General features: G+C 42.2%; 2 protein-coding genes across 16 annotated transcripts in view, besides 1 other annotated feature; one reads left to right on the top strand and one right to left on the bottom strand.

Annotated features, from left to right (window-relative positions):
* The window catches only part of ITPRID1 (ITPR interacting domain containing 1), a 144,631-nt gene that overhangs the window by 1,573 nt on the left and 131,660 nt on the right, over window positions 1–11,398 (bottom strand). For 6 of the 8 annotated variants that reach the window (NR_047565.3, XM_011515213.3, XM_017011871.3 and 3 more), the window contains 3 exons: window positions 5,879–6,006; window positions 5,098–5,209; window positions 644–4,630 (listed from right to left, as the gene is read on the bottom strand). Coding sequence is in view for 7 of the 8 variants with exons in the window: in XM_011515213.3 (XP_011513515.1) it covers window positions 4,319–4,630; window positions 5,098–5,209; window positions 5,879–6,006 (552 nt within the window). In the remaining variant the exon portion in view is untranslated. Of the gene's footprint in view, window positions 1–643; window positions 4,631–5,097; window positions 5,210–5,878; window positions 6,007–11,398 lie in introns of those variants that run through there. The other 2 variants (NM_001257968.3, XM_017011872.3) reach the window with 2 other exon arrangements.
* Window positions 1–11,398, top strand: part of PDE1C (phosphodiesterase 1C) — an 811,448-nt gene that overhangs the window by 771,077 nt on the left and 28,973 nt on the right. The gene's annotated exons all lie outside the window — the stretch shown is intronic.
* Window positions 5,403–5,961: an enhancer, noted in NCBI's record as "OCT4-NANOG hESC enhancer chr7:31690801-31691359 (GRCh37/hg19 assembly coordinates)". NCBI's record gives its function as "activates a minimal SCP1, AML or CMV promoter by ChIP-STARR-seq in primed H9 embryonic stem cells {active_cell/tissue: H9 hESC(primed)}" and the evidence as "EXISTENCE:reporter gene assay evidence [ECO:0000049][PMID:30033119]".

The following is an 11,398-nucleotide window of genomic DNA, read 5'->3' as shown; positions in this document are numbered from 1 at the left end:
ATATATGATTATATATATTTGATATATATGATTTTATATATATTTTATATATATCATATATAAAATATATATGATACATAATATATATAGTGCGTGTGTGTGTGTGTATACACATACATTTATTACACAAACCAGGAAAGCCAGTGGTATAATTCAGTCTGAGCCTAAAGGCCTGAGAATCGGGGGTGGTATTTGGAGGCAGCATCAGCAAACATTGTTCATCATGCACTGAAGACAGCAAAGGTCCTGGTGGGATAGAGCAGCCTCTCTACATTTTAGTTTCCCTTCTATGCTCTTTTTTGGAGAATTAGGAGAGTAAACCATTAAATGTTTGGAGACCTTTGGGGATTCCATTAGCTATTCTTCATCAGAAAATAATAAATGGTCTTTTCTCTCCTCCATCACACATGAAGTCATCTTTCTGACTGTCAAAACCGTCCACAAATAAGTCCCTTTTTACAATCTAAACTCAGTTCCTTCTACAACCTATAACCGTGCTTCTACCATAGTCAGTTCATTCTCTTCATTGTCTCCTGAGACTGATAATTTATCCTCATCTCATTCATTCATCAAGCGGTAGGTAATATTCTGTGTGCATAAAGTACTTTGCTAACAGTTCTTTTCAACAGAAGGAAGACAGTAATTACAGTTAGCATTTATTGAGTTCTTGGTATGTGCACTTGTAATAATAGCCAACATGCATTGAACACTTACTACGTGATGGACATTGGATTAAACACTGCACAGGATTCATGGTATTTATTCTGTCCAACAACTCTATGTTGTTTTTCTTCTCCCTATTTTACAGAGGAAGAAACTAGGGTAAAGAGAGCAAGTGCCCGAGGTCACACATGATAAAGAAAGGAGTCTGTACTTTCCTCCAGATAGTCTCTCTTAAACACAGGGTAGTAGGTACTACACAGTCCTCAAATAGCTTTAAGTTTACTAGAGAAGATATGACCTACACAGATAATGGTAACACAAGACAGGAGGTTTTCAGTGTTTTAACAAAAAAGCAAAGTGATATAGGAGTTTCAAAAAATAAGGATCACTTCTGCCACAGATCATCAAGGAAAGCCTGTGTAGGAGATGGGGTCTGCCCTAGGACTTACTGGTGAGATACTTCATTTGTTTCAGCAAAGGAGAGGAAGCAGGAACACAGGAGGTGGTTTAGGGGAATAGAATTGGAGATTCATCTGAGGGATGAGCAGGAAATGAGACTGGTAAAGCAGATGGCTGCCAGGTGAGGGACATCCTAGAGCCAGGTGTTCCTCTTCATTCCGTAGGCGTTACAGGGAAGGAGCAAGGAAGAAACTGCAGGAGAGCTCGGAGTCTACATGGAGAAGGGGAGGTCAAAAGCCCAACCTGGGTAAAGAGTAAAAAGCTTAGGAGTTTAGCAAGGGAAACGATTTGGAGGCACAAATGCAATGCATCAGGAGTCAATTTGGCTGGGAGCTGAGCCATGATATAGGAGCCAAGATGGGGATGTGGCAAAAAGGGATGATGCAGTGGGAGGCGACGAGAGGCGCATAATAACTCCAGGGCCTGGACTTTTATTTCTGGTGGAAGGCTGCTCTGGGAAGTATGATCCTGTGATTTCTCTCTCATTCTCTGGCTTATTCTAAAAGTACTTTCTGGGTATTCACTGTAGATCCAGCAAATATGACCCACATGGTGGCTGAGAGAGCCCAACCTGGCAGAGGCCAGTGCAGTTTGGAGAGAAGGTGGCTGGAGGCAGTTAGGAAGCACCTATGTTGCACTGTCGCCAGGTAATTCGTTCTGAGGAAACTTCTGGGAGGTATTTTGTGGCAGTAGACTCAGCATTGGTGTGGTCATTGACTGACTGAGGGGGCAGGGTAGAGGGGCAGGAGACCATGCACACTGTGGCACTGAGCCTGCAGCAAGGAGAAAGGCTGTGCCACTGACAGAGAGGATCAGGAAGATGAACTGAGTTGGGGCAATGACCAGGTCAGCTTTAGCCAAGAGTGAGACATACAGCCAAGTCTTCCAGGTCAAAATGTCTTATGGACAGTAAAAAATGCTGGGCTGGGATACTGGAGAGAGCTGGGAATCAGGGTCATAGATGCTTGGAGAGTGTGTGTGTATACTGAGGACAGAGGAATGGAGAAAGAGAAGAGAATTCAGGACAGAATGGGGATGTCCACGCTCTGAGAATGTTAAGTCCATGGGAAAAATAGTGTGGTGGTCCCAAGGGTAGGAAGGCCCCGCTGAGTCAAAGGCTTTCCAAAAAGCAAGGAAGGGGAAGAGTGCAAGCAAGATGTGAGATGGTTTTGAGTAGTGGGTGGTTTCAATAGAATTAGTTTCTGAGGTTACTTGCTAAGAAGTGACCTCTCCTTTGACCATCTTTTCATACAAATTATAAACTTCCCTCATGGCATTACTTTTCCAAGCAGTTTTTCCTATTCCATTCTGCATCTATTCCCCATTCCTTAGAGACCCAGTGCCTCTGGCCTTTGTGTGCCATTCCCTGCATTTCCACTGGGGTGGGAGCCTCACAAGCCTCCAAGGCTGAATAGAAGCAACTTGACGACATTTGCTTCTCACCTTGGGGATGACAGCAACAGCCTCCTAGCTGGGCACTCTGCCTCACTGTAGACCCCCAGGGGCGTTTTCTCCATAAAGCAGCCAGCATGACTTCAAAACGTAAATCAGATTATATGACGACCCTGCTTAAAACCCACAGTGGCTTTCCATTACCCTTGGAAAAAGGATTCAGATGCAAAGACTTGGTCATGGCCTATAGTCTGACCGATCCCCTCTCAGCCTTCCCCTCCCTCCATCTCCATGCCCCACCGCACTGAGCAGCACTGGCTATCTCTACATCTGGGGGCCTGTTAACTTTCCATTCCTTCTGCTTTGAATGTTCTTTTGCAAAATTGCACTTGGCTTCCACTTCCTCACCTTTCAAGTCTTACCCAAATAGCCTTCCCTTTAGCAAGGCCTTCCACAGGCACCCTGATGAATGCAGTACAGTTTTACTCCACATCTCCCTTTGCAACATTATCACACTGTCTTCTGAGGCTCTTTTCAGGATTGTAATTATTTGCTTGTTGGTTTTTTTTTTTTTTTTTTTGGACTTACTCTTCATCCAACTCTTTCTGAGTAGAAAGTCCATCTGTCTTATTTATGGCTGTCTCCAGCACTAGAATAGTAGCCTGCACACAGTAGGTGTTTCATCAGTACTCCCACTGGCTGCCTGACTGGACAGTCTGGTACCTCTGAGGCCTGGATCCTCCTTCCCTCTTCTGTTGTTACTTCCTCAACCAGGGCTGTCTGAACATTGATCTAAATCGGATTCCCTTCTGTGTTCTCTTTCACAAAACCTGTTATTTCCTTCAGAGTTTTTAATAATAAATGTACGTACATGTTTATATTCTGTGAAAGGAAAATAAACCTCAGGACCCCAAAATTATGAAGTAAAAGGGAAAAGTCAAGTTAGGAGCTGCATCAGGCAATCTGCCTCCCATTTTATTTCTAAATGAGATAGCTACAAAGATTTTTTTAAAAGCTAAATACCTCCCTCACAATTTGCCCACTGGGAAATTCCTTGTGGTCCCTAAAATCTTTAGTCTAAAACAGTTCTGTTGAATTTTATCCTGACAAAGTATATTGATAGCTTCTCTTAATAGGTACAGGACAAAGAACAGAACTCAAAGCCATCCCTCTGCTCCCCCGAGACAAATGCATATCTGATTGCTTCCTCTGCCCTATGTTTATTTTACCTTCTGTAAAAGTGCAGATCCACTGAGCTAGGTGAATGCATAAGTGACAGTTCCTCTACCCCTTCTCTCATGAGAAAAGCTGATCAGACTCAAAAAAATGCAACTGTTTGCCTCCTATGTACCCACACCTCTTTCCCCATTAGCACCCTTTCCCCACTAAATGTTGAAGGCCTCAAAATCATCTTTGGAGAAAGGCACAGACCTGTCTTCTGGGTGTGTATCCTTAACCTTGGCAAAATAAACTTCTATATTGACTGAGGTCTGTCTCAGATACTTTTTGTTTGCAATTCTATCTCCCCCACTACACTGTAAGTTCTAGCAGGGCAGAGACCGTATACTATTTAGTCACTGTTGCATACTCTGTGCCAGGCACATACTAGGTGCTCAGTTATTCTATACTGAATGAGTATTAGAGTATTCTAAACTCCTCTTGGGTTTAACCAAAGGGTAGAATATGAGAGATATAGCTGACAATGGGTTGGCAGACCCTTCTCCTTGGGGAAAATTGAAATTTCCTTGCTACATCTGTTCTGGGCCTTTATATTTTGTATGAAGGTTAACAAACCTGCTCTGATCTAGAGGAAGACATCTGCATCCTTTTCTCCAACAGGACAATTTGACAAAGGGGTTGGACCTAACTTTGCCCAAGCTGATGATGAAGGAGACATCCTGGTGCTGTTCTCCAAGGTGGGTGGAGTGAAGGCAGCCAACTGGGTCCCACCTGAACAGGGAGCCTCCTGGCCATCATCGGGAGGAAACACAGTCCTCGGGGCCATGCCTGGGTGGATTTTAGAACATGAAGTCTGCCCATTGCTTTCTTCTATCCAGTTATATTGATGCAGATTTGAATAGTGTTCAGGTGGCTCTGCTGTGAGAACCTCCAGCTGCTAAAAGGAAAACAAGAGGAAAAAGAGTAAACAGCACATCACATTGGCACCAAACAGCTTACTCAAACTTGTGAGCTAGGCATTATGAGGTGGTCGATTCTCTAGAATGGGCTCTTTGAGCCAGCAGCAGATTCTGATAGTGACTTAGCTTATATTGGCTACAAAGATGAGCTTCACTGTGCCTGTGATTCTTATTCTTATTTGGAAAATGGGCTAATAGGACTTCTCTATGATGTACAGGGCAAGGGGAAGATTGGTATGACAGGTGAACTGAATTCTGATACAGAATCACCATCAGCTGGCTGTGTACCCTTGAGCAAACCAAAGTACTTCTCTGTATACTTAAAATGAAGGTGTTGGCATGTAAACCTAGATTCTGAAATGATTGCACAATCAAGTTTCTCATTTAATGCACCTCTCCTGTGGTAGGCTGGATATAGTCAAACTCCACACCCCATCACCCATACCAGTAAAATCCCTTCTCTGATTTGCTGAGCCCGGTCTCCTAACTGAAATTCCAACTCTGCCACCTGCTGCCTCAGGGCCTCACGTAACGTTTGCAGTTGCTCGGCCTCCTCCCTGCAAGTAAATAATAGAAAATAACCAAATTTAACAATCCTTCCCAGGTGCAATCTTCCATTGTCACCTCATAATATAGGTTCTTCCTTTGCAATTTCTTAAAAGAGAATGTCATCTTTATTTGTGTCAGCTGGAGACATTACTAAGGTTGTCTTCTTTAAAAAAAAAAAACAACTTTATTGCAGTATAATATAGTTCCCCTATTTTAAGAGCACAATTTAATAATTTTTAATAAATTTACCAAATTGTGTAATCATCACCACTATTCAGTTTTAAAACACTTCTATTTCCCCAAGAAAAACCCGTATGCCTCTCCCTTTACAGTTAAACCTGATTTCCATCCCCAGCCCCAATGCAGATTTTCAAAACTCTCATAACTCCCACATTTGCATTTGCACGAGCCCCATCCCATTGATTAAAGACATCCTGCTGTCAATGCCCCTGACTGCCTGTCTTTTGACCTTCTCCAAGAATAAGTATTGCTATCTAGCAAATGGCTCTCACAGACTCCCACTGAGAAAGCAAGAACAAGACCAAGAAAGCAAAGGAAAAGCTGGCCGGTTTCTCATTAGCTCTGCTCCAGGGTGCTCCTCTGTTCTGCCCTGATTATCTTCCTTGCTCCAGGTGTGTGGGCTGGTACTTACTTTTATGGCTCCCTTAGGTAATTACCTTTCCTCCTCTGACATGTCCCTGGAAAAGAGGGCCTGCTGTCCCATAAGGTGCTGTTCAATTTCTTCTAAATACTCCCGGAAACTTTGGCATATCGTCTTCATGGCTTCCATCTCATGGACTGTGCACTGAGAACAATGAGAAAGAACTGAGAAGAAAGTCCTCTCTGATCCTCTGCAAGAGCTCACCATGGTGGAGCCTGTCTTCCCATTTGGGATCCCTTTTTTCGCAAACAGGCCCTACTGCTAATATAAGGGGGAGGGAATAGGAAGAGCCCAATATTTGGGTTCACAAAACAACTAGTGACAGTGCTCATCTGCAACAGAAGGGCAGCTGTTGTTGGGTGGCCTTTGGGTGACAATCATTGTGTCCCAGAGGCTGGAAGGCAGTCTGGAGGCCTAGGTGACATAGGGATGCAAGGATGTAGGTAGAAGAGAGGAGGGGAAGTGCCAGAGTAAGGGTTTGTGAGAAATTGAGTCTGTTTAATCTTGTTTAACTTTGTTGCTGGGTACTGCCTCACTCTGAGTATCAATAACATTGAACACATCTGTTCAGCTGGTATGTGTTTGATTAAAGAAAATCTGCTTAGAATAATGTTTATTAGTCTTAGTCCTGCTTAGTCACAGTCCTGGAGGTTGGAATCTGCAGGATCAGCTTCATCCACCTAACAAGCCCACCCTGAGGAAGGCAGGCAAAGGTTAGGCATCCTGTCATCTCCAGGAGTTGGAATCTAGAATTGAACTTTGTCTACGCTTTTAATCCTTCCCATTGCTCCTGATGTAGTCATCGTTTAACTCTTACTTTCTCTCTCAGGCTGTGCCTTTGCCTTGGTTTTCTCATTTAAATATATTCCTGCAGCTCCTGAGAACTTTGGAACTCTCCACTAACAGACTTGACCACCCTCCAGTCTGCCTCCCAGCAGCACAAGGCTGTGTCCCTGGGATGACCTTAACCTCCCCATCCCCCAATAAAAAGCCTGACTGAGAAATCTAAAGGCTGCCAGGAAAATTTACTGTTTGCTTTCGCCAACACCTGACATAGGCCCTTTCTAAGAGTATTTATTAAATGTTGATTATAATTGTAAATATGTATTTCTTACAACTCACAAGTGTCTCTCTCAAGGACCTGAGAGCCACTCCTTTGAAATGTAATCATCTAGAAGGTTTGGGCCTCTGTCCCCGGTCTCTAGGAGGGCAGAATCCTAACTTCAGTTACTGCTGGCTCACAAACACAGTTGGTCTAATGGCATTGACATGGACCAATTCTTTGTGATTTTTCACTTTTCTGACTCTACTGAGCCCCTACTCTTCACCCTCCCTTATTCTCTCTTTAGAATGCCCAAATCACCTCTGCACAAATTGGAGTGGAGCTCAGCTCTTTCCCCTGCTGTCAGTAGTTGCTGAACACAATCTGTTTTCATGGCTTTAACTAAAGCTATTTACCTTTGGCACCTCCAAGCCCAGTCCATTTGCCGGCACTCTGATGACTTGCTGAGTTCTTACCAGCTATCCCCTTTGTTTTGCATCCTGGGTTGGATCATGCTTTGAAATCCATGACCCAGAACTCCAGGGCCACTAACCATTTGACTTTGAGTAATATTAATGCTTGTTAGGCCCTAAAGCCATCTCTATCAGACCCACAGGCTTGGACCCCTTCCCAAAATCAGTGTAGCAGAGGCTGCTAGTTGACTACTCACAATCTTTCTCTCCTTTATTCTTGTTAACAAGAATACTTTAGAGGCATCCATGTGTCTAGCTAAAAAATTACATTTCCCAGCATTCCTTGTAGAGACAATGGCCAGTGAGCTGGGAACAGAGAGCATGCTGTGGGGCTTCTGTGGTGTGCTTTAAAGGAAACTGATCTTGCAGGCTGGCTGTTTTGAAGCTTCTCTTCTTCCTCCTTCCATGGAGACCAACTTTACAGCTAGGTGGACTCCTCTAGCCCTGTTTCTAGGAAGTCTGAGATTTCTTACCCTTCCTCTCTAAACTACATGGCCAACATCCTGGCAGCCGGATGGCTATTTTTACCAGAATTGTCATAATGGAAATACTTTCCTAAGAGTAATGTTTTTATATTGAAAACTCTCCATATTTTGGTTTTGGAGTTTGGTTTTGATTCTATCCTCTCGCTTTTATACTGAATAACGTATTTTGCATAGTAAAGCTCTTGCATCAATTTTGCAATTTTGCAATTACTCTTGCATCAATGTGAGTGAATTTGAAACACTTAGGGAATCTCTGAAGTGATACTGATGTTGGCAGGAATGCTAGATTATGGCTCTTAAGACCAGAAAAGATCTTGTAGACCATGAAGGGCATCTGTTATAGATACGTGTTCTGACATAGAATGGCTAGTTAACTTGTCTGTGGTCAAAAAATGGCAGTAAGATTTCGAACCCATCTCTTGTTTCATTTCTTTTCTTCTAAGATCTGAGTCACAGCAGGGACCACAGTATAGCTGAACACAAGGATAAGTTGCTTGTCCCTTAGCAGCGAGCTGTTTGAGTGGTTCTAGTAGCTTCCCATCAGGTAACCAAGACTTCCCAACTGGTTCAAATTCACTTCAAAGTTCTGGGGACAGTGACGCCAGGATCATGGAAGTGTAGTGCTCAAATAGGCTGAACATCATAAACATTGAATTTTATGCTCATGTAGTTATTTTGGGGTAGCCTTTTGTGATTGAAAGGTATAAGACTGGGGTGTTTTGGTTTGGGAATAACTGATGGAGTGTTTGCTCTCTGAGAATGGTGGAGGGATGTGGAAGATTCTGAAATGCTGCCATCTTCTGGTTATTTGGAAACATGGAAAAACACATTTTAGCCCTAGAATAAGTATAGAAATGATTTCATAATAAAGAAAACTGTAGGTGAGAAAAAAAATAAATAAAAACCCTCAAAAATAGAGTGTTTTGAACATTTCTTCTTTTTCTTCTTCTTCTTTTTCTTACAATATAAAGGCTTGATTATAACCCAAATACCAAATGCAAGTTCTGCTCTACTGACCCAAACCCATTGAAACAAACTTTAACTTCAATGGTAAGAGCACCATCACCAAAAGACAATGAATTTTCACTTTGAATATGCTCATATTACTTTTTCTTATTTGTGTACTTTTACTTTTCTCTAAAACTAAATCATAAACAATATGGAAGCACTTCTAATATTCAGAAATCTTATTTCTGATAGATCTCATTTTCTTTTCTGGAATTTTTTTTGAATTAACACTTTTTAAAATTAACAAATTATCCTGAAGAATTTACCTATATATAACAATTTAGTTATACCAACAAACCATTTTTTTGAATTAACAAATTATTGCAAATAACTCACTTATATGTGAAAATTTAATTATATCAACAAATCATTACCCTAGACAACCCAAAAAGGCCACAAAAATGGCATTTATCAATTAGTCAAATGTTTATCTGCAGTGTTATATATTGCTATATTAGGGGGGTAAGATAATGATGTTTTTGAGTCTTCAAGTCCTTTACCTAAAATTGCTCTTAGTTTCAACATCTGCTCAGAACTCCCATTGTCGTCGTCGTTGTCGTCATCGTCTTCTTCTTCCTCTTCTTTTTTTTTTTTTTTTTTTTTTGAGACGGAGACTCTCTCTGTTGCTCAGGCTGGAGTGCAGTGGCATGATCTCACCTCACTGCAGTCTCCGCCTCCCAGGTTCAAGTGATTCTCTTGCCTCAGCCTTCCAAGTAGCTGGGATTATAGGCACACACCACCACACCCAGTTAATTTTTTTTTTTTTTTTTGTAGTTTTAATGGAGACGGGGTTTTGCCATGTTGGCCAGGCTGTTCTCGAAGCCCTAACCTCAGGTGATCCACCCATCTTGGCCTCCCAAAGTGTTGGGATTACAGGCGTGAGCCACCATGCCTGGCCTCCCATTATCTTCTAAGAGATGTCCATCTCTGCTTATAATCTTCACTTGGTCCAAGAGCTATGTCCTGTTAATATTTTCGTAAATATTTTTTCTAGCCCTGTCTAGCACTTGGCATCTAATTTAAAGCCAATTTTCTTCAGAACAGTTTTCAGGCCTTACAAACCCAGGCTCACTCTTAGTAGATGTTGCTGCATGCACTAACTTGTTCTCTTTGTGCTTTAAATGTCTTTAAGCGGTCTCCTGTCATGGAGGAATGCAATCTCTTATTTCCACTTGCTTTCCAGCACATGCGCCTGTGTGCATATGTATGCCTGCATAGGAGTATAAATATGCACACGTATATGTGTGTATGTTTGAATTGTTTTCTTTGAGTGTATTTTTTTCTATTTCTTTGGATGTTAATAAAGGGAAATTCATTGTCATCTGGTAAAACCTTATATAGCATCCATTTCAGCAGGTGTATGATGTCAAATCAACTGGATATAAAAGTACCTTTTTTTGTATAATTGCAAATTCTAAGAGGAAAGAAGGTGAAGGCAATAGGAGACAAGGCATTAGAAGCTTTCGGATGGTGGCCCTCACACCCATTCAAACTCCTACTTGTTTAAAATCTACCCACGTCTGAGGACAGTTACTGAGCATAATGGGCCACAAAACCTCCCTGTTTTCTGCAGGAGTGCTGATATGACAAAGTGTCAAATCAGGAGGAACATCTATTTCCAGCTGCCAAATCTCTCCACACAGCTGGGGCTACTCATGCCCAAAGCCCTCTTTTGACACTAGGAAGGAGGAATAAGAAGAGCTCGGGTCCACACTTGGTCACCCTGGAGCTGGCCCAGGTTTAATCTTCTGCTCCTATTCTGAATAATGTCCTTACCATGAGGAATCTGGCTCTGGGTTCCTGTGCCTTTTCCCCCAGGGCCACCTCTTACTCTTTCCAGCCTACCTTCCTCGGAGAAGCTGCAATCCTTCTACCTGCGAATCTGCTCCCAGGTGCTGGAGGCCCACTCACACTTTCAATCCCCAGAACCATGCTCCTGCAAATTCATCAGGACACCCCTAGTACCTCACAGACTCTCAAACCTTTTACATTAATGGTCTTACTGGGCTGTGCTACTGACCAGTCATGCTCTCTGGGTGCTGTGGTTTGCCTGATGGATTAAACAGGTCTAGAAAAACCATTTCTCCTGGAGTTTTGAACACAATTTTGTTATTTTTAACAAAATAGACAACTAAATATGACTTAAAATCTTTGTAATGCTTGTCTTAAACGTAAATTAGAAAAATAATCTTTTTTCGGGATGTGCATTCCTATGTTAGACCAACAACCAGCCTTTCTTTGTGAAAACTGGAGTACCTAATTCTAGGATTTAATATTTTCCCCCATACGGCCTCTCAAAATGTCACCTTCTCCAGCTATCTTTCATCCCTAACATTTTCCCCTTACAAACTACGTGATCGGGTAAATGTTTATTCTCTTAGAGCTGAGTTTTACAGCCTTGACACTACTGACATTTTGGGCCAAAGAATTCATTGTTGTGGTGGCTGTTCTCTGTATTTTAGGATGTTTTGCAGCATTCCTGGCCTCTACCCACTTGTTGCCAGTAGCAACCACCCCCCTCCCGTTGT

Source organism: Homo sapiens, chromosome 7 (genome assembly GCF_000001405.40).
Source record: "Homo sapiens chromosome 7, GRCh38.p14 Primary Assembly".
In the NCBI taxonomy this organism is placed as follows: Eukaryota; Metazoa; Chordata; class Mammalia; order Primates; family Hominidae; genus Homo; species Homo sapiens.
The sequence above is the reverse complement of the archived record's forward strand: the minus strand, read 5'-3'. Positions and strand labels throughout refer to the sequence as shown.